Genomic DNA, 19974 nt, shown 5'->3' on the forward strand with positions numbered 1-19974 from the left:
GTCTCTACTAAAAATACAAAAAAATTAGCTAGGCATGGTGGTGTGTGCCTGTAATCCCAGCTACTCTGGAGGCTGAGGCAGAAGAATCGCTTGAACCCAGAAGGCGGAGGTTGCGGTGAGCCGAGATTGCGCCATTACACTGTAGCCTGGGCAACAAGAGGGAAACTCCATCTCAAAAAAAAAAAAAAAAAAATTGCCCTCACAGAGCTTATATTCTAGTGGTAGTAGGGGGATAAATCAGATAGGTAGCTAGCTAGCTAGCTAGATAAATAGATAGATAGACAGATAGTATATTACCTGTGTCGCCTGGCCAAAGGGTAGGTTCACATTTGGCATGTGTGTCAACTCAAGCTGCACTTGACCTTTCCTAATCATCTCCAACACTACCTATTGCCCTATCCAAATCCTATCACTTGAATTATTCAAAAAGTCTCCCATCTTCATTTTGGTGGGATTTGGTCAGCTCCTTTACTGCAACCTGTTTTATCAGGAAGGTCTTTATGACCTGTATTTTGTGCTGACCTCCTATCTCATCCTATGACTTAGAACACCTTAACCATCTGGGAATGCAGCCCAGTAGGTTTCAGCCTCATTTTACCCAGCTCCTATTGAAGATGGAGTCGTTCTGGTTCACACAGCTCTGATAGTAATCTGCTCACTAAGTGTTAGTTGCCGTGTTCTCTCCCACAACTCCCTCCTGTTGCACCCCTGCCTTTGAGTCCTGCTAAACAACAGTATTGGAACCCATCATTTTCTCTCATGCCTTTACCCAAACTGTTAGTTTTCTGGTATTCCCTTCTCTCCACATTTTTCCTTCTCAGATCACTGAGGATCGTCCAATCTTCCCTGCCCATCCCTCCCCTACCCCAACCTCCATTATTTGTACTCTCTTAGCATCCAGTGCACTTTTTTTCCTTACTTATTACACAACTTTACACTTACAATTAACATTATAATTGTCTTTTTGGTCTATTTGATCTACTCTACTAAATCTTTTTTTTTTTTTTTTTGAGACAAGGTCTCACTGTGCCTCCTCGGCTGGAGTGCAGTGGCGTGATCTCGGCTCGCTGCAACCTCCGCCTCTGGAGTTCAAGTGATTCTCCTGTCTCAGCCTCCCTAGTAGATGGGATTACAGGCGTGCACCACCACGCCCAGCCCAGTTAATTTTTGTATTTTTAGTACAGACAGGGTTTCACCATGTTGGTCAGGCTGGTCTTGAACTCCTGATCTCAGATGATGCACCTGGCTCGGCCTCGCAAAGTGCTGGGATTACAGGTGTGAGCCACCGTGCCCAGCCGTTAGCTCATTTTAACACATCCTTAGTCCAGCCTGTTCCAAAAAATCTAAAGTCAGATAGCTTCCTAAACCTCAACTTTATTCCAATTGCTTTCCTTGGCGAAGAATGTAGTAAGTCGGCCTTCCAGCCACCAGCCCCTTCCCTTTGGTCTTTCACTCCGGAGGCTCTTACCCTAGACACAATGGGACAGGGAGCGGGGGATGGGGGAATTCAGCTCAGGCTTTTATGCAAAGACCCCCTTCTGCAAAGAACAAAGCTTCTGGTACCTGCCCTTTGGAGAGCTGCGGGCAAGCTCAGCCTCGGTGAGTCTTGGTGGCCTTGACAGCCCCCACTTAACAAACTGTGCTGATTAAGAGAGACAGGAGGGCAAGTTTTTCCCTTCTTTTAAAGAAATCATCCTATTTCCTACGAGACATAGACTATCTGCCTGAAGCATGATGTACTAGCCCCACTCACCGGCTCCCTGATGCCCCTATGCTTAATCTTCTCCGGAATGGTAGTCTGAGAAGAAAAAAGATTACGCCCAATTTCATTTCCTTGTTTCACATCAAGCAATACTTTTCGAGTCTTTGCATTGTGAACAAAAGTCAGCTTGTGTGGGAGCAAAGCCAGCTGCTCTGGGTGCAGACCCAGGAGCAGAGTGCAGAGGAGAATGAGTCAAAGAGTTTTGTCTTCAAAAATTACATAATCGGGATTTGCTAAGAGTTTACTTTTCGGTATGGAAGACTGGAAAAGAGAAAGAAATCTTAGGTTTCTTGAATGTTGGGTTTGGGAATAGGAAGGAAAATCGAAAACTGTAGACTTTGTCCATAAATGTTAGTGCTGGAACCCCACTCTAAAAACTTTGTTCCTTTGGAAAACACCTCCCTTCCCCCAGAAACACACACACCCACACGAGATGGGCACGGAGTAGTCTTGAAAGACATGACAAATCACCAGACCTGGGAAGAAGCTAAAGAGCCAGAGGGAAAAAGCCAGAAGTCGACTACCTGGGAGGAGGGATAGACAAGAAACCAAACTAAAGGAAACTAAGGTAGGTGCTGAAAACAAGTACCATTTTCAACATTAACTGATGCCTTGGCTTCATGCTATAATGCCATGTTGTGTTTCACTATAACCTCAGAGTGAATGAAAGAGGAAAATGGAGCTAGTTGAAATTTCTGCCTAAACTAGCCAGATTTTGAGACACTAAGTTATCTCAAATCAAGAAATCACCCTAATGAGAATTTCAATAACCTCAGGAATTTAAGGTGCATGCATCCCCCACCCCCCCCTTTTTTTTTTGAGACGTAGTCCCGCTCTGTTGCCCAGGCTGGAGTACAGTGGCGCGATATCGGCTCACCACAACCTCTGCCTCCCAGGTTCAAGGGATTCTCCCGCCTCAGCTTCCAGAGTAGCTGGGACTACAGACACCCACCACCATGCGTGGCTAATTTTTGTATTTTTAGTAGAGAGGGGGTTTCGCCATGTTGGCCAGGCTGGTTTCAAACTCCTGACTTCAGGTGATCCGCCTGCCACGGCCTCCCAATTTACTGGGATTACAGGGGTGGGCCACCGCGCCCGGCCTTTTTCTTAATTTTTAAAAATATTAAAGTTTTATCCCATTCCTGTTGAACCATATTCCTGATTTAAAAGTTGGAAACGTGGTGAACCTAGAAGTATTTGTTGCTGGGTTTGTCTTCAGGTTCTGTTGCTCGGTTTTCTAGTTCCCCACCTAGTCTGGGTTACTCTGCAGCTACTTTTGCATTACAATGGCCTTGGTGAGACTGGTAGACGGGATTAACTGAGAATTCACAAGGGTGGGTCAGTAGGGGGTGTGCCCGCCAGGAGGGGTGGGTCTAAGGTGATAGAGCCTTCATTATAAATCTAGAGACTCCAGGATTTTAACGTTCTGCTGGACTGAGCTGGTTGCCTCATGTTATTATGCAGGCAACTCACTTTATCCCAATTTCTTGATACTTTTCCTTCTGGAGGTCCTATTTCTCTAACATCTTCCAGAAAAGTCTTAAAGCTGCCTTAACCTTTTTTCCAGTCCACCTCTTAAATTTTTTCCTCCTCTTCCTCTATACTAACATGAGTGTGGATCCAGCTTGTCCCCAAAGCTTGCCTTGCTTTGAAGCATCCGACTGTAAAGAATCTTCACCTATGCCTGTGATTTGTGGGCCTGAAGAAAACTATCCATCCTTGCAAATGTCTTCTGCTGAGATGCCTCACACGGAGACTGGTAAGAAAGAAATTTATCCTTGAAAGGCCAAGTTCCTTAAGGGAAAAGAGAGAAGGAGAGAGGGTTAAGGGATCATTTCCCTCTTGAGCAATGATGGACCATTACTATAAAGAAGTGTTATTATCAACTAATCCTCTGGAAACCCCTTTTTCCATTATAACTTGGTGGCACCTGCCCTTTGAACTATGTCCCAGGTCTCAGGAGTGTGCATTGAGTTGAAGGACACAGAATTCGGCAGTTGAACAGTGTGCAGTAAGTTTGAGAACCTATGGGCTTAGGCATGGTGGAAACAAAAATGTATCGTTATAGTTAAATGAAGGTGATGTGTACATCTTCACATAGTGCTGGACACATGTGAATAAATAGCAGATTTATTGCTAATTAGCCAGAAGACCTAACGTCATAGCTCAGGGATGAGCATGATTTTGTTTTGCCAAAAATGGCATGGCAAATCACGATGAGATTTCTGTAATACATAATTTGGGTAATTCTTTCTATGTCAGTAACGGCTGTCTCTTCTCCATTCTCTGGGTTTGTGGATGTTACTGGGCAGCTCTGAGTTTGGGAGCACCTCCCATGTCTAATTCTCCTAAGTCCTGGGAAGCGTTGACCCAACTTTATGGTAAAGATAATTCCAGAAAGTTTAATCTACTGACAGTCAAACAGAATGTAGCTAGAAGTCCAGTTTGGCTTCAAAACCTGTGCTAGTACTCATGCTTCTGACTGGTAGCTGCAAGGGGTGGGGGATACTCGGGATACTCATAAAGCCGCTACCACTTTTTTGAAAATCAATTTTTCAGTAGTTTTCAAAAACTTGAGAATGAACCAACTTTACCAAGAATGCCATTGGTAACACTGAACGCTGTAAAATAGCTTAAAAAGCGCATTTACATTATGACTACAGTTGTAAAGAGTAGGTTGTGGAAAAGGAATAAGTAAACATGATTGCTATATTTGAGCCTCAGATTTGAATGTCACCCTGCTTTTCCTCTTTTTTAGAATCAGGGACTCACTTTGTCACATAGGCTGGAGTGCAATGGTGTGATCATGGATCACCGCAGCCTCAACCCTGAGATCAAGTGATCCTCTTGCCTCAGCCTCCCAACTACTAGGACAAGAGGCGTGTGTCACTATGCCCAGCTAATTAAAAAATTATTTTTGTAGAGACAGGGTCTCACTTTGCAGCTCGGGCTGGTCTTGAACTCCTGACCTCAAGTGATCCTCCACCCTCAGCTTCCCAAGTCGCTGGGATTACAGGCGCTGACCCACTCTGCATGGCTATTCACCCAGTTTTTCTAAACTATGCATTAATGTTCTTGCCTTTATAATTTCTTTCTTTCTTTCTTTCTTTTTTTTTTTTTGAGACAGGGTCTCATTCTGTTGCCCACGCGGGAGTGCAGTGGCGTGATCTTGGCTCACTGCAACCTCCGCCTCCTAGGTTCAGGTGATTTCTCCTGTCTCAGTCTCTCGAGTAGCAGGTATTACAGATGTATGCCACCACGCCTAGCTAATTTTTGTAGTTCTTAGTAGAGAAGGGGTTTCGGTGTGTTGGCCAGGCTGGTCTCAAACTCCTGACCTCAAGTGATTCACCTGCCTTGGCTGGGCACCGCGCCTGGCCACCTTTATAATTTCAAATGTTAAAAATACATTGCTGGGTTTGGGAATGAGCAAGTGGGGATGTGTTTTCTTTAGCACACATCAAGTGACAGTTTATATAGGTAGCTAATATTTAGGATTTTCCCCAATTCTAATCATTAGTTGAAAGGCTTCCTCTGCTTTTCAGATCTACTTGCAAGAGAGAAGAGATTGTTAATTTTTGCTGTTTTAGAGCCTGTCCCTTTGTTATGTGACTGCAGGGGTAGAATTGAGAGTTGAACACTGGGAAAACCGCAGAGCAATTAGGTATATAAGTGATGACTAAATCTAGATATTCATTTCTAGTTACAAAATCAGTAAATGCCAGGCCCTATGCTAGAGAATTTCAATTGGTTACCTCATTTTAATTAATAAAAAAATAATTTTAGAGATGAGGTCAGAGCTAGTAAAGGGAAGGCCTGGATTGAAACAGAAGCTTATCCGGATTCACATATCCTGCTGGTCCTAGCATTGAGAACTGGGCAGTCAGTTGCTGGTTTTGTTTTTTATTTTTTTGAGACAGTCTCACTCTGTCACCCAGGCTGGAGTGCAGTGGCACTCTCGGCTTACTGCAATCACGGCCTCCTGGGTTCAAGTGATTCTCCTGCCTCAGTCTCCCCAGTAGCTGGGATTACAGGCATGCGCCACCACTCCTGGCTAATTTTTGTAATTTTTAGTAGAGATGGGGTTTCACCATGTTGGCACGCTGGTTTTGAACTCTTGACCTCAAGTGATCTGCCCACCTTGGCCTCCCAAAGTGTTGGGATTACAGGCATGAGCCATCCCACCTAGCTGAGGTGCTGGTTTTATAGAATCCCCAGAATCATGGCATTTAAGCAATCATGTAGGTGTTGATGAAGATCATAAACAAAGTGATTTAGGGTGAGATGCAATACGTGAAAATTGGTGAATCTCCATTCTGACCTATTAACACCCAGTGTGGGAGCTTTTGAGCATCAGTTTAAAGCAAAAGGTGGTAGCGCCGGCCTGATGAGGTGGCTCACACCTGTAATCTCAGTACTTCGGGAGGCCGAGGCAGGCGGATCACGAGGTCAGGAGTTCGAGACCAGCCTCACCAACATTGAGAAACCCTGTCTCTACTAAAAATACAAAATTAGCCAGGCGTGATGGTGCCTGCCTGTAATCCCAGCTACTCAGGAGGCTGAGGCAGGAGAATCGCTTGAACCCAGGAGATGGAGGTTGCAGTGAGCCGAGATTGCACCATCGCACTTCAGCCTGGGCAACAAGAGTGAACCTCCATCCTAATTTTAAAAAAAAGGGGTAGCGCCGCTCAGCAATGCATTGGCCACCATTATAGATCTCTCCCAACGCAGTCTATTATGTACAAAATGGAGATACTGATAAGACTTCTTGGAGTAATACTATATAAAGCTTGCCAAAGTGCCAGGGCTGCTTAAGAAATTGCTTCTTATTACTTAGATCTGGGGTTCTGGGAATTATCAAAGTACTTTGAAAACAATTTTTTTAAAGGATATTTTAATATTTGAAAAATTTTAGACAAAAGTGTCCTTTTATTTGTTCCCAACAGTCTCTCCTCTTCCTTCCTCCATGGATCTGCTTATTCAGGACAGCCCTGATTCTTCCACCAGTCCCAAAGGCAAACAACCCACTTCTGCAGAGAAGAGTGTCGCAAAAAAGGAAGACAAGGTCCCGGTCAAGAAACAGAAGACCAGAACTGTGTTCTCTTCCACCCAGCTGTGTGTACTCAATGATAGATTTCAGAGACAGAAATACCTCAGCCTCCAGCAGATGCAAGAACTCTCCAACATCCTGAACCTCAGCTACAAACAGGTAGGCTTGTTTTGTCCTTGGAATAAGGTGAACAAAAATTGGACTAATTTGCATGGCTAAGACCTCTGTGGATGCATGTAGATGTGTGTACTATGTGTCCGTACATCGCCTCTTGCAAATAATTTATGAAGATGAAATGCTTTTGTAACTTCCTTCACCTCTTTCTTTCCTTAAATATTCTATTATGTGAATAATTATGTCATAATTTAACCACTTTCTTGCACAGACCAATATTGTGAAAATCTTTCCAACGTTTCCTTAATAAAAAAGAAGTATCTAACTCCACTTACCAGGGTAGGAGAAACCCTAACTCACACTGGTTCTCATTAAAATAAAAACTTTTTTTTTCCTTTTTTTCTTTCTGCCAGCAACTCCAGCTTGTTTTGTTTTTTATCTGTGTGCATTCAATAAGGCCAATCATTGTTTATTACTTGTTGGCCATTTTCCTTCATTAATTGGCTTATCCTCTTCTAGGCTTTATTTCCTTCTTTTCTTTTGTTTATTTTTGAGACGGAGTCTCACTCTGTCTCCCAGGCTGGAGTGCAGTGGCCTCATAATGAGACATCATAATGACATTAGCATTACTTGGTTTAAGTACAAATGGATGAAACCTCCACCTCCTGGGTTCAAGGGATTCTCCTGCCTCAGCCTCCCAAGTAGCTGGGATTACAGGCGCCCGCCACTACACCTGGCTAATTTTACTGTATTTTTTAGTAGAGATGGGGCTTCACCATGTTGGCCAGGCTGGTTTTCAACTCCTGACCTCAAGTGATCCACGTGCCTCTGCCTCCTAAAGTGCTAGGATTACAGGTGTGAACTACCACACCCGGCCCTTGCCTTTATTTTCTATCCAAAATGTTCATTTCTCTCTTTTTTTCTGAGACAGTCTGGTTCTGTTGTCACGCAGCTGGAGTGCAGTGATGCAATCTTGGCTCACTGCAGCCTTCACTTCCCAGGTGCAAGCGATCCTCCCGTCTCAGCCTCCTGAGAAGCTGGGACCACAGACGTGCAGCATTACACCCGGCTAATTTTTTGTATTTTTGTAGACACGGTGTTTCCTCATGTTGGCTAGCCTGTAGCGAACTCCTGGGCTCAAGCAATCTGCCCGCCTTGGCCTTCCAAAGTGTTGGGATTACAGGCATGAGATATGGCACCTGGCCAGGAATAAAAGTTAGCAATATACTTTGATTCAAAGTACCTCTGTATTATGAATATTTTACAATTTCTATCATTTTTTCCTGCAGGTGAAGACCTGGTTCCAGAACCAGAGAATGAAATCTAAGAGGTGGCAGAAAAACAACTGGCCGAAGAATAGCAATGGTGTGACGCAGGTAACAGGAAACTTCATTCTGTTCTTTCCTTTCAGTGATCTTTCAATCTTGTCCATCCCTGAAACACACAACTCCAGTCACAGACAGTTCTGGTTGTCCTTGTACCCTTTCTGTTAATCCCTCCTTCTCTTTCAGAAGGCCTCAGCACCTACCTACCCCAGCCTTTACTCTTCCTACCACCAGGGATGCCTGGTGAACCCGACTGGGAACCTTCCAATGTGGAGCAACCAGACCTGGAACAATTCAACCTGGAGCAACCAGACCCAGAACATCCAGTCCTGGAGCAACCACTCCTGGAACACTCAGACCTGGTGCACCCAATCCTGGAACAATCAGGCCTGGAACAGTCCCTTCTATAACTGTGGAGAGGAATCTCTGCAGTCCTGCATGCAGTTCCAGCCAAATTCTCCTGCCAGTGACTTGGAGGCTGCCTTGGAAGCTGCTGGGGAAGGCCTTAATGTAATACAGCAGACCACTAGGTATTTTAGTACTCCACAAACCATGGATTTATTCCTAAACTACTCCATGAACATGCAACCTGAAGACGTGTGAAGATGAGTGAAACTGATATTACTCAATTTCAGTCTGGACACTGGCTGAATCCTTCCTCTCCCCTCCTCCCATCCCTCATAGGATTTTTCTTGTTTGGAAACCACGTGTTCTGGTTTCCATGATGCCCATCCAGTCAATCTCATGGAGGGTGGAGTATGGTTGGAGCCTAATCAGCGAGGTTTCTTTTTTTTTTTTTTTCCTATTGGATCTTCCTGGAGAAAATACTTTTTTTTTTTTTTTTTTTGAAACGGAGTCTTGCTCTGTCGCCCAGGCTGGAGTGCAGTGGCGCGGTCTTGGCTCACTGCAAGCTCCGTCTCCCGGGTTCACGCCATTCTCCTGCCTCAGCCTCCCGAGCAGCTGGGACTACAGGCGCCCGCCACCTCGCCCGGCTAATATTTTGTATTTTTAGTAGAGACGGGGTTTCACTGTGTTAGCCAGGATGGTCTCGATCTCCTGACCTTGTGATCCACCCGCCTCGGCCTCCCTAACAGCTGGGATTTACAGGCGTGAGCCACCGCGCCCTGCCTAGAAAAGACATTTTAATAACCTTGGCTGCCGTCTCTGGCTATAGATAAGTAGATCTAATACTAGTTTGGATATCTTTAGGGTTTAGAATCTAACCTCAAGAATAAGAAATACAAGTACAAATTGGTGATGAAGATGTATTCGTATTGTTTGGGATTGGGAGGCTTTGCTTATTTTTTAAAAACTATTGAGGTAAAGGGTTAAGCTGTAACATACTTAATTGATTTCTTACCGTTTTTGGCTCTGTTTTGCTATATCCCCTAATTTGTTGGTTGTGCTAATCTTTGTAGAAAGAGGTCTCGTATTTGCTGCATCGTAATGACATGAGTACTGCTTTAGTTGGTTTAAGTTCAAATGAATGAAACAACTATTTTTCCTTTAGTTGATTTTACCCTGATTTCACCGAGTGTTTCAATGAGTAAATATACAGCTTAAACATAAATCTTTGTTAAATTTTTGGTTGGGGTGGAGAAGGAAATTAGCTGAGGACACTGCTATCTTAGAAATGCATAGAAATAGCTGAGCGTGGTGGCCTATGCCTGTAGTCCCAGCTATTTGGGAGGCTGAGGCAGGAGAATCGCTTGAACCTGGTAGGTGGAGGTTGTAGTGAGCCAATATCACACCACTGCACTCCAGCTTGGGCGACAAGAGCAAAACTCCCATCTCAAAAATAAATAAATAAATAAGTAAATAAATGAATAATAAATAAATATGCCAGTTTTAGAATGAATGAATAATAAATATGCCAGTTTTAGAAAAAAGGGCACTTACGTGCATTGTACATGTGCATCTACAAATGTAATGGGTTATTTCCGTGTATGAATCTGTAATTGATGCTAACATTTAAAGTTTCATCAGAGGCCTATATGTAAGTAAATTCTAAGGCTAGTTGAAACAGATTTATGTTCTCACCTTAAGAGCAGCTACGCAGGCATCTGTGAATTATACTAATAATCCTTTACTGTCCTTTTCCCATCTTGTGCCTGCCCTAAATGTATCTGATCTGAGAGCACGTCCCTTCACTCTGAAGCAGCATGATGCAGGTTATCAGAGTGGTTTTTTCCAGTCTTTTCTCTCATTATTTCCCCAATTGTCCAATGTTACTAAGACTATCCAGTCTAATTCCAAGTGTTTTTTTTTTGTTTTATTTTGTTTTTTTTTAAGACTGGAGTCTTACTCTGTTGCCCAGGCTGGAGTGTAGTGGAGCGATCTCGGCTCACCGCAACCTCCGCCTCCCGAGTTCAAGTGATTCTCCTGCCTCAGCCTCCCAAGTAGCTGGGACTACAGGGGTGAGCCACCATGCCCAGCTAATTGTATTTTTAGTAGAGACAGGGTTTCACTATGTTGGCCAGGCTGGTCTTGAACTCCTGACCTCATGATCCACCAGCCTTGGCCTCCCAAAGTGTTGGGATTACAGGCGTGAGCCACTGCGCCTGGCCTATCGTTTGTTTTTTTAGACAGTCTCTCTCTATTGCCCAGGCTGGAGTGCAGTGGCACAATCTTGGCTCACTGCAACCTCCGCCTCCTGGGTTCGAGCAATTCTCCTGCGTCAGCCTCCTAAGTAGCTGGGATTACAGGCACCCAACATTACACCCGGCTAATTTTTGGTATTTTTAGTAGAGATGGGGTTTCACCATGTTGGCCAGCCTGGTCTCGAACTCCTGACCTCAGGTGATCCACCTGACTCGGCCTCCCAAAGTGGTGGGATTATAGGTGTGAGCCACCGTGTCTGGGCAATTTTTTTTTTTTTTTTTGAGATGGAACTTCACTTTTGTTACTCAGGCTGGAGCACAATGATGCAATCTCTACTCACTGCAACCTGCACCTCCCAGGTTCAAGTGATTCTCTTGCCTCAGCCTTTCGAGTGGCTGGTATTACAGGGATTTGCCACTATGCCCAGCTAATTCTTTGTATTTAGTAGAGATGGGGTTTCACCGTATTGACCAGGCTGGTCTCGAACTCCTGACCTCAGGTAATCCACCCTCCTCGGTCTCCCAAAGTGCTAGGATTACAGGCATGAGCCACAGTGCCCAGCCTTCTTTTTTATTTTTTTAAGACGGGCTTATTCTGCTGCTCAGACTGGGGCTTAGTGGCACCATTTCACCTCACTGTAGCCTCGACTTCCCGGATTCAAGCAATCCTCCTGCCTGAGTCTCTCAAATAGCCCAGACTATAGGTGCACACCACCATGCCAGCTAACTTTTGTGTTTTTAGGAGAGACGGGGTTTCCCCATGTTGGCCTGGCTAGTCTCAAACTCCTGAGCTCAAGCAGTCTACCAGCCTTGGCCTCCCGAAGTGCTGAGATTACAGGCATGAGTCACCAGCCTAGCCCTGTATTATGTTTTCTGAACTTTTTTTTTTTTAATCACCCAGTATTAATCTTCAACCTCTTGGCAGGTAAGAATTTAGAGATCTATTTGGAATAATCTTTAAAGTAACAATAATAACTACAGTCAAAAGCAGTAAGATTAGTGGGCCAGGTGCCGTGGCTCACACCTGTAATCCCAGCACTTCGGGAGACCAAGGCAGGTGGATCACCTGAGGTCAGGAGTTCAAGTTTAGCATGGCCAATATGGCGAAACCCTGTCTCTACTAAAAATACAGAAATTTGCCAGAGGTCTTGGTTTGCGCCTGTAATCTCAGCTACTTGGAAGGCGGAGGCAGGATAATCACTTGAACCCGGGAGGTTGCAGTGACCCCAGATAATGCCACCCCACTCCAGCCTGGGCGACAGAGCGTCACTGTCTCAAAAATAAACAAAAATAATAGGAGATTAGGCAAAAAGGATAGTACAAGGCTCTCTGTTTAACATTTCTTCCTTTCTCTAGAAAATTTTCCTTTCTTTTCCCAAAAGGAGGTGTGTGTTACTTCCAATGCTATATTTTAGTAGCTTTACCATATTTTAGTTTTTAAAATTCATTATTTTGATTTCTCAGCTTTCATTTTCATTTCAGTTTGTACCTGAAGGAGAGAAGCATGGATTGAATTTGCCTGGGTTTTCCGAATTTCATAATATAAATTTAAAACTCAGAAGTGGGAGGAATACAGGCCTTGATTAGTGAATTTCAAGCTCAGTTCTCGGGGTGAAGGACAAGGTTAATTCTACTCTGAGTAATTCTACCGTTCAGAAAACCTGGTGTGTCTACAGGAAAAAATACAGGCTGTGACTACAAACCTAAAAGTAAAGGCAAACAACTGCCAGACAGAGGCAGGAAAGTGGGGGAGAGCCCTTGGTAAATATTGCATGCCTCCTGGGGCCCCCATGGGCTTTGACTCAAGGGGGAGATGAAGGGAATTTGTTAAAGAAAGAAGTCACTGGGACAGACAAAAGCTTCCGGCACAGGAAGTTAGTTCGACTAAGGATACCGAAATGTAGGAATTTGAATGGGTTCCTGGGTGTGAGGTTGAAGTGAAACTTGATTGAAAAGAAGCTGCTGGTGGTGAGTCTCTCCTTAAGCTATTCCTGGCTTCTGGGTAGTTGGTGTAAACTCTGTGGTCCTTGAATAAAGTGTGCTTGAGAATTTTAGAAGGTTAAGCATCTGAGAAATTACTTCAATGCAGTGGTAGCACTACCTCTGATGATACTACCAAGCAAACTATTAAGAAACAGAAAAGCTCACAGATCAAATTAAGATGCTAGAATCGTATTAAATCAATTAAATACATGGAACAAAACAGGCAAAAAGATGGGATACATTAATCCATTTAGGATAAGGTGCATGTGGAGTAGAAAGGGTAGCAGTGTTTACATGTCCTCTGATAACACTGGCGTAGTCACAAGAGCTAAGGACAAGAACCAAGGGTGAGAATTTGAGATTCAATTAGGGCCAGGGATCTGCAGAACAGATGTACCTGGAACATGGGTGTCAATGTGCTCTTATCAGAGAGACAAAGGGGCAGTTATTCCTGGCCACGAAAGTAGTTCTTGGCTCATTGAGCAGCTATGAAATCTATTTGCAGGCCAGGCATGGTGTCTCAAGCTTATAATCTTAACACTTTGGGAGGCCAAGGTGGGTGGATCACCTGAGGACAGGAGTTCAAGACCAGCCTGGCCAACGTGGCGAAACCCCGTCTCCTAAATAAAAAGTAGCCGGGCATGATGGCAGGGGCCTATAATCCCGGCTACTCAGGAGGCTGAGGCAGAATTGCTTGAACCTGGGAGGCGGAGGTTGCAGTAAGCCGAGATCGCACCATTGCACTCCAGCCTGTGAGACAGAGCAAGACCCCGTCTCCAAAAAAAAAAACCAAAAAAACAAAAAAACTGAAATTAAAATGAGTTCCGTTTGGAGGTAAATACCTTTAAGAGTACTTTAGATTTACATAGCACTGGGCTGGGCACGGTGGCTCACGCCTGTAATCCCAGCACTTTGGGAGGCTGAGGCTGGTGGATCACAAGCTCAGGGGTTTGAGATCAGCCTGACCAACATGATAAAACCTTGTCTCCACTAAAAATATAAAAATTAGCTGGGCATGGTGGCACATGCCTGTAATCTTAACTACTCAGAAGTCTGAGGCAGGAGAATCACTTGAACCCGTAGGTGGAGGTTGCAGTGAGCCGAGAGCGCCACTGCACTCCCGCCTGGGCAACAGAGCGAGACTCCATCTCAAAAAAAAAAAAAGATTTACACAGCACTCAACAACATAGGAAAATATTTATAAACTGTATTACACTTGAACCTTAAGCTATACTCTGAGGTTAACTACCATTTGTGGGTTAAGAAGCTAAAGCTCTGTTTTTCTTTAAGACAAGTGCAGTAGTGAGAAGTGGGGAAGAGTAGAACAAGGAGTTCGATCTGTAATTCACTGTGAACAAACAATTGAGGTAACTGACTACCTTCAGACGAGGCTGGAAGTTTTTATTTATTTAGTGACCGACTTTTGGTCTTGTTTCCCAGGTTGGAGTGCAATGGCACGATCTTGGCTCACTGCAACCTCCACCTTCCGGGTTCAAGTGATTCTCTTCCCTCAGCCTCCTGAGTAGCTGGAACTACAGGCACCCACCAGCATGCCCGGCTAATTTTTATATTTTTAGTAGAGACGGTGTTTCACCATGGTGGCCAGGCTGGTCTGGAACTCCTCCTGACCACAGGTGATCCACGTGCCTCGGCCTCTGAAAGTGTTGGAGTTACAGGCATGAGCCACCCCACCCAGCCACATTATATGTTTAAATTTTGATTTAAATTTAAAATTTGAATTTTAACTTTTAAACTAAAATTTAAATTAAAAATTAAATTTTAAATTTAAATTAAAAAAATTAAAAACCCTGTTACCCAGACTGGAGTGCAGTGGTGCATTCATGGCTCACTGCAGCCTCAATCTCCTAGGCTCAAATGATCCTTCCGCCTCAACCTCCTCAGTAGCTGGGGCTATAGGTGCACACTGCCACACTCAGCCAATTTTTAAAATCTTTTTTGTAGAGACAGGGCTCTTGCTATGTTGCCCAGGCTAGTCTTGAATTCCTGGGCTCAAGTGACCCTCTCGCCTGGGCCTCTCAAAGTGCTGAGATTACAAGCATGAGCCACTGCATCTGGCCTCGGTAATAATTTTTATAGAAGAAAAAAGCTAAAAGCTTAAGCAACATGCCAAAGGTGGTACTGGTTGTATGTGGTAAAATCTGGATTCAAGCCCTTAATTGCTTGACTCCAAAGCCCCAGATGTTGCTCTCTGTTGCATTATGTTATATAGCTTTGCAATAACCCCAGAAAGTTACATAGTTTGATGTGGAATGAACTCCCCTCTTCCTTCGAGTCTGATGTCTTATCAGACACCATATGTGAGAACTTGGGAGTGAACTCAAGCTTCCCTCAAGAATGTTAACATCAAATTCGATCAGATCCAACCCCAAAGGTGGGTGTTTTGACCTCAACTACTGAACTTCAAAAATACATATAAACTCAAGAGTTTGACAGACACTTTGAGAGCTTAGGCAGTAGCAGGGTTAAACTTTGTTGATCGTTTCTCAGAAAATCAAGAGTGCATGCTATAGGCGGGGTGTGGCAGCTCGCACCTGTAATCCCAACACTTTGGGAAGCTGAGACAGGTGGATTGCTTGAGCCCAGGAGTTTGAGACCAGCCTGGGCAGCATAGTGAGACCCCAGCTCTAGAAAAAATACAAAAAAAAAAAAAAGTAGCCAGTTATGCTCGTGCACACCTGTAGTTCTAGCTACTTTGGAGGCTGAGGCAGGGTGATCCCTTGAGCCCATGATTTTGAGACTGCAGTGAGCCTGTGTGACAGATGAAGACTCTTGTTTGTTTGTTTTTTGTTCTTTTGTTTTTGTTTTCTTAATGAGTGTGCTCTCTAATATGCTGCACTCTGCACTCAAGCCCTCTTCTAGCTTCTGAGAGCTCAGGCTACAATAGGAAGATACTCTGTTAGCCTTGAAGCTAATCTTTATTTTTCTTTATTTTATTTTATTTTTTGAGACAGAGTCTCGCTGTGTCACCCAGGCTGGAGTGCAGTGGCGCAATCTCGGCTCACTGCAACCTCTGCCTCCCAGGTTCAAGCAATTCTGCCTCAGACTCCCAAGTAGCTGGGACTACAGGCACACGCCACCATGCCTGGCTAATTTTTGTATTTTCAGTAGAGGCAGGGTTTCACCGTGTTGGTCAGGCTGGTCTCCAACTCCTGATTTCGTGATCTGCCTGCCTCAGCCTCCCAAAGTGCTGGGATTGCAGGAATGAGCCACCATGCCCAGCTTTTTTTTTTTTTTTTTTGAGATGGACTCTTTTTCTGTCTCTCAGGCTGGAGTGTAGTGGCTCACTGCAACCTCTGCCTCCTGGGTTCAAGCAATTCTACCTCAGCCTCCCGAGTAGCTGGGATTACAGGTATGTGCCACCACACCCAGCTAATTTTTGTATTTTTAGTAGAGATGGGGTCTCAAAAAAAAAAAGGGAGAAAGGATGGTAGCATAAGACGGTATACTAGAGAAACACTAAAATAGGATAGGCAAAATATGAGCCTTTAAAAGCTTTAAGGAGTAACATACTTAGATTTGCATTTTAGATTGTTCTCCCTGTACTACGGGAAGGTATTGGAAGGGAGCAAGACCAGAGATTAGTCTATTTTAATGATTATGCCTATTTATAAGGGCCTAGATTAGGATTCATTGGGAAACAGTGTGTTACATATGACAGAAGTAAGGAGATGATCAAAGAATGATTTCATAGCCGGATGTGGTGGCTCATGTCTGTAATCCTAGAACTTTGGGAGGTCAAGGTGGGTGGATCACTTGAGGTCAGGGAGTCCAGGACCAACCTGGCCTATGTGGTGAAACCCCTTCTCTACTAAAAACACAAAAAAATTAGCTGGGCATGGTGGCGGGCGCCTGTAATCCCAGCTGGCTTCAAGCAATCCACCTGCCTTGGCCTCCCAAAGTTTTGAGATTACAGACATAAGCCACTGTTCCTGGCTCAAGTATACCACCCTAATCAAAATTATTTTTGGAGTTTTTTTTTCCTTCTTCAACAGTTATGTTAGAGATTATGGATTTTTTTGTTTGCTTTTGTTTGTTTGTTTGTTTTGCGACGGAGTCTGGCTCTGTTGCCCAGGCTGGAGTGCAGTGGCGTGATCTCTGCTCACTGCAACCTCCACCTTCCAGGTTCAAGTGATTCTCCTGCCTCAGCCTCCTGAGTAGCTGGAATTATAGGCATGCACCACCACACCTGGCTAATTTTTTGTATTTTTAGTAGAGACGGGGTTTCACCATGTTAGCCAGGATGGTCTCAATCTCCTGACCTCGTGATCTGCCCGCCTCGGCCTCCCAAAGTGCTGGGATTACAGGCGTGAGCCACTGGCCCGGCTTTTTTTTCTTTTTAGATGGAGTCTCGCTCCTGTCTGGAAGGCTGGAGTGCAGTGGTGTAATCTCGGCTCACTGCAACCTCTGTCTCCCAGGTTCAAGTGATTCTCCTGCCTTAGCCTCCCAAGTAGCTGGGATTACAGGTGCCCGCCACCACGCCCAGCTAATTTTGTTTTTGTTGTTGTTTTTGTGCAATTGGTTGTCAGCCCATTTTACACATTCTTCTAGAATTGGCCATTTCTCCAAGAAGCATTAGTTACTTTTAGCAAGGAATAATATTTAGAGATCAGAACTGATCGCTGGTATTGCTATAATTAAGGGTAGTTGCAGATATTGACTTTATGTGCAGACAATTGAAAATCCAGAAAAATCTCAGAAGTCTTTCTGTGACTTCTCCTCACATATTATCCAAAATTGACATAAGCCCATGATTAAACTAACAATTTGGCAAAGCGAATGAGATCATTACAATTTGCCTCCCACCGCTGGGTATAGTGGCATACATCTGTTATCCCAGTATTTTGGGGGCCGAGGCTGAAGGAACACTTGAGGCCAGGAGTTTGACACCAGCCTGGTCAACATAGTAAAACTCCATGTCTACAGAAAAATTTAAAAACTTAGCCAGGTGTGATGGTGCGTGCCTTTGGTCCTAGCCAGTCAGGAGGCTGAAGCTAGAGGATTGCCTGAGCTCAGGAGTTTGAGGCTGCAATGAGCTATGACCGCACCACTGCACTCCAGCCTGGGTGACAGAGGGAGACCCTGTCTCTAAAAAAATAGTAATAAAATAAAATAAAAAGATTTACCTCCTAACTAAAAGACATGGCCTTCAGAAGAAGTTAAGATAATTGTATGTGAATGGAAAACGAATAGTTTCTGCTACAGCAACCAGTGTATATCTGCTCTAGTACAGCTACAACTAAATCAATTTTACAAGGTAGAGAGTCCAGGAAGACTACCAAATATATATAGAAACTGCATATTTGATTAAGAATTCTAGTTTAGATCACTATATTATTAGTTAGAAAAACAGGCCGGGAGCAGTGGCTCACGCCTGTAATCCCAGCACTTTGGGAGGCTAAGCTGGGCAGATCGCGAGGTCAGGAGTTCAAGACCAGCCTGGCCAACATGGCGAAACCCTGTCTCTATTAAAAATACAAAAAGTAGCCGGGCGTGGTGGTGGGCACCTGTAATCCCAGCTACTTGGGAGGCTGAGGCAGGAGAATCGCTTCAATCCAGGAGGTGGAGGTTGTAGTGAGCAGAAACCAAGCCACTACACTCACTCCAGCCTAGATGACAAGAGCAAGGTTCTGTCTCAAAAAAAAAAAAAAAAAAAAAGAAAAACAAGGCACAAAACCATATGAATGATTTATTCTATTTGAATTAAAAAATATAAGTCACATAGATACAAACATTTTCTGGGAGGATAAAAACATACGCCCAAAATTTACATTTCAGATGAATAGATAAATAATAAATTATTTAGGAAATAAAAGTAACAATTCTCAGTTTGGGGGAAAGTTGATAGAGTCCTGCTTCATTCTAGGTTACATGAAAGCTGGGTGCCATGGCTCACACCTGTAGTCCCAGCAATTTGAGAGGCTGAGGTGGGAAGATCACTTGAGCCCGGGAGTTCTAGACAAGGCTGGGCAACATAGCAAATTCCCATCTCTACAAAAAATAAAACAAATTAGCTGGACACAGTGGTGCTTGCCTGTAGTCCCAGCTGCTTGGGAAGCTGAGGAGGGAGAATCAATTGAGCCTGATGGTTGAGGCTGCAGCGAGCTGTGATTGTGCCACTGCACTCCAGCCTGAGCGACAGAGAAAGACGCTGTCTCAAAAAACAAACAATCAAAAAACAATAGGCCGTGAGAGGTTGCTCACACCTGTAGTCCCAGCATTTTGGGAGGCCTAGGCGGGTGGATCACTTGAGGCCAGAAGTTCAAGACCAGCCTGGCCAACATGGCAAAATCCAATCTCTACAAAAAAATACAAACATTAGCCGGGCGTGGTGGTGCATGCCTGTGGTCTCAGCTATTCGGGAAGCTGAGTCAGAAGAATCACTTGATTGAACCCAGGAGGCAGAGGCTGCAATCAGCCTAGATCATGCCACTGCATTCCAGCCAGGGAGATAGGTGTGAAACTCTGTTTCAAAAAAAAGAAAAAAGAAAAGAAAATACACACATTAAAATCTCAGCTCCACCATTATGACCTTGGGCAAATTATTTTGCAGGCTTTTAGGTCTTCCCTTTTGTGTAAATAGAAATAATACTTGAAGTGATTTCTGTCATCTAATATGTATTTTGTCTAGCTCATAGAACATATACAATTAATGTCAGTTACCTGCATGGCAATGTAAAATGTGATCATCCTTTGATACACCCCCTAGGACTGTATGCCAAGGCATTAATCAAACAACCACATAAAGATACTCATTACAGCACTGTTGGTAATAGCTAAACAATTTTTTATTTTTATTTTTATTTATTTATTATTTTTGAGGCGAAGTCTCAATCTGTCACCAGGCTGGAGTGCAGTGGCACGATCTCGGCTCACTGCAACCTCCACCTCCCGGGCTCAAGCAATTCTGCCTCAGCTTCGTGAGTAGCTGGGACTACAGTTGCGCACCACCAAAGCCAGCTAATTTTTGTATTTTTAGTAGAGACGGGGTTTCACTGTGTTGGCCAGGATGGTCTCGATCTCTTGACCTGGTGATTTGCCCACCTCGGCCTCCCAAAGTGCTGGAATTATAGGTGTGAGCCACTGCGCCCGGCCAAAAATATTTTTTTAAATCTAAATGTATAT

The 19974-nt window shown here is 44.1% G+C and overlaps 1 protein-coding gene across 2 annotated transcripts, besides 22 other annotated features; it reads left to right on the forward strand.

Moving 5' to 3' along the window:
• Positions 1-3397: part of a biological region, named in NCBI's record as "NANOG 5' regulatory region", that runs on past the window's edge. NCBI's record gives its function as "regulatory_interactions: NANOG".
• Positions 727-994: a conserved region, noted in NCBI's record as "conserved region; CR3". NCBI's record gives the evidence for it as "COORDINATES:sequence alignment evidence [ECO:0000200][PMID:19522013]".
• Positions 1070-1670: a DNaseI hypersensitive site, noted in NCBI's record as "-1.8 kb (P2) DH site; the nucleotide coordinates are approximate for this feature". NCBI's record gives the evidence for it as "EXISTENCE:in vivo cleavage assay evidence [ECO:0001075][PMID:25077040]".
• Positions 1298-2142: a conserved region, noted in NCBI's record as "conserved region; CR2". NCBI's record gives the evidence for it as "COORDINATES:sequence alignment evidence [ECO:0000200][PMID:19522013]".
• Positions 1367-1418: a promoter, noted in NCBI's record as "-1788 to -1737; P2 promoter". NCBI's record gives its function as "bi-directional promoter" and the evidence as "EXISTENCE:reporter gene assay evidence [ECO:0000049][PMID:25077040]".
• Positions 1381-2070: an enhancer, noted in NCBI's record as "OCT4-NANOG-H3K27ac hESC enhancer chr12:7940221-7940910 (GRCh37/hg19 assembly coordinates)". NCBI's record gives its function as "activates a minimal SCP1, AML or CMV promoter by ChIP-STARR-seq in primed H9 embryonic stem cells {active_cell/tissue: H9 hESC(primed)}" and the evidence as "EXISTENCE:reporter gene assay evidence [ECO:0000049][PMID:30033119]".
• Positions 1565-3154: a promoter, noted in NCBI's record as "-1286/-1 promoter fragment based on primers from PMID:21689639". NCBI's record gives the evidence for it as "EXISTENCE:reporter gene assay evidence [ECO:0000049][PMID:21689639]".
• Positions 1665-1714: a protein binding site, noted in NCBI's record as "PBX1 site 1; probe 11". NCBI's record gives its function as "positive regulation of promoter activity" and the evidence as "EXISTENCE:protein binding evidence [ECO:0000024][PMID:19522013]".
• Positions 2135-2151: a transcriptional cis regulatory region, noted in NCBI's record as "Lef #2 site; -1020/-1004". NCBI's record gives its function as "mediates positive regulation by Wnt/beta catenin" and the evidence as "EXISTENCE:site-directed mutagenesis evidence [ECO:0005528][PMID:21689639]".
• Positions 2757-3357: a DNaseI hypersensitive site, noted in NCBI's record as "promoter (P1) DH site; the nucleotide coordinates are approximate for this feature". NCBI's record gives the evidence for it as "EXISTENCE:in vivo cleavage assay evidence [ECO:0001075][PMID:25077040]".
• Positions 2774-3397: a conserved region, noted in NCBI's record as "conserved region; CR1". NCBI's record gives the evidence for it as "COORDINATES:sequence alignment evidence [ECO:0000200][PMID:19522013]".
• Positions 2775-3178: a promoter, noted in NCBI's record as "-380 to +24 promoter". NCBI's record gives the evidence for it as "EXISTENCE:reporter gene assay evidence [ECO:0000049][PMID:15743839]".
• Positions 2897-3188: a promoter, noted in NCBI's record as "-258 to +34 P1 promoter". NCBI's record gives the evidence for it as "EXISTENCE:reporter gene assay evidence [ECO:0000049][PMID:25077040]".
• Positions 3007-3086: a protein binding site, noted in NCBI's record as "probe containing 4 SBE (SMAD binding elements)". NCBI's record gives its function as "positive regulation of promoter activity" and the evidence as "EXISTENCE:protein binding evidence [ECO:0000024][PMID:18682241]".
• Positions 3038-3051: a transcriptional cis regulatory region, noted in NCBI's record as "Oct/Sox box". NCBI's record gives its function as "important for promoter activity; mediates response to hypoxia" and the evidence as "EXISTENCE:site-directed mutagenesis evidence [ECO:0005528][PMID:25271810]".
• Positions 3105-3154: a protein binding site, noted in NCBI's record as "KLF4 sites 1 and 2; probe 4". NCBI's record gives its function as "positive regulation of promoter activity" and the evidence as "EXISTENCE:protein binding evidence [ECO:0000024][PMID:19522013]".
• Positions 3158-12902, forward strand: NANOG (Nanog homeobox). 2 transcript variants are annotated; one of them, NM_024865.4, is made up of 4 exons: positions 3158-3521; positions 6706-6968; positions 8213-8299; positions 8435-12902. In NM_024865.4, exons 1-4 carry the CDS (start codon positions 3371-3373, stop codon positions 8849-8851), a joined length of 918 nt encoding a protein of 305 aa, NP_079141.2. In that variant the 5' UTR covers positions 3158-3370; the 3' UTR covers positions 8852-12902. The 2 variants fall into 2 exon arrangements, with proteins under 2 accessions (NP_079141.2, NP_001284627.1); NM_001297698.2 differs by having other exon boundaries at positions 8483-9817.
• Positions 3205-3254: a protein binding site, noted in NCBI's record as "PBX1 sites 2 and 3; probe 6". NCBI's record gives its function as "positive regulation of promoter activity" and the evidence as "EXISTENCE:protein binding evidence [ECO:0000024][PMID:19522013]".
• Positions 12102-12667: an enhancer, noted in NCBI's record as "OCT4-NANOG-H3K27ac hESC enhancer chr12:7950942-7951507 (GRCh37/hg19 assembly coordinates)". NCBI's record gives its function as "activates a minimal SCP1, AML or CMV promoter by ChIP-STARR-seq in naive H9 embryonic stem cells {active_cell/tissue: H9 hESC(naive)}" and the evidence as "EXISTENCE:reporter gene assay evidence [ECO:0000049][PMID:30033119]".
• Positions 12668-13234: an enhancer, noted in NCBI's record as "OCT4-NANOG-H3K27ac-H3K4me1 hESC enhancer chr12:7951508-7952074 (GRCh37/hg19 assembly coordinates)". NCBI's record gives its function as "activates a minimal SCP1, AML or CMV promoter by ChIP-STARR-seq in naive H9 embryonic stem cells {active_cell/tissue: H9 hESC(naive)}" and the evidence as "EXISTENCE:reporter gene assay evidence [ECO:0000049][PMID:30033119]".
• Positions 15553-16054: an enhancer, noted in NCBI's record as "H3K4me1 hESC enhancer chr12:7954393-7954894 (GRCh37/hg19 assembly coordinates)". NCBI's record gives its function as "activates a minimal SCP1, AML or CMV promoter by ChIP-STARR-seq in primed H9 embryonic stem cells {active_cell/tissue: H9 hESC(primed)}" and the evidence as "EXISTENCE:reporter gene assay evidence [ECO:0000049][PMID:30033119]".
• Positions 18549-19070: an enhancer, noted in NCBI's record as "H3K27ac hESC enhancer chr12:7957389-7957910 (GRCh37/hg19 assembly coordinates)". NCBI's record gives its function as "activates a minimal SCP1, AML or CMV promoter by ChIP-STARR-seq in primed H9 embryonic stem cells {active_cell/tissue: H9 hESC(primed)}" and the evidence as "EXISTENCE:reporter gene assay evidence [ECO:0000049][PMID:30033119]".
• Positions 19071-19590: an enhancer, noted in NCBI's record as "H3K27ac hESC enhancer chr12:7957911-7958430 (GRCh37/hg19 assembly coordinates)". NCBI's record gives its function as "activates a minimal SCP1, AML or CMV promoter by ChIP-STARR-seq in primed H9 embryonic stem cells {active_cell/tissue: H9 hESC(primed)}" and the evidence as "EXISTENCE:reporter gene assay evidence [ECO:0000049][PMID:30033119]".

Source organism: Homo sapiens, chromosome 12, assembly GCF_000001405.40.
Source record: "Homo sapiens chromosome 12, GRCh38.p14 Primary Assembly".
Lineage (NCBI taxonomy): Eukaryota > Metazoa > Chordata > Mammalia > Primates > Hominidae > Homo > Homo sapiens.

Excerpts from the sequence above, each read along its gene's own strand:
- NANOG (NM_024865.4), top strand. The coding sequence starts at position 3,371 with ATGAGTGTGGATCCAGCTTGTCCCCAAAGCTTGCCTTGCTTTGAAGCA. Across the intron at positions 3,522-6,705 it reads GATGCCTCACACGGAGACTG|TCTCTCCTCTTCCTTCCTCC; the intron begins GTAAGAAAGAAA and ends TGTTCCCAACAG. Across the intron at positions 8,300-8,434 it reads ATAGCAATGGTGTGACGCAG|AAGGCCTCAGCACCTACCTA; the intron begins GTAACAGGAAAC and ends CTTCTCTTTCAG.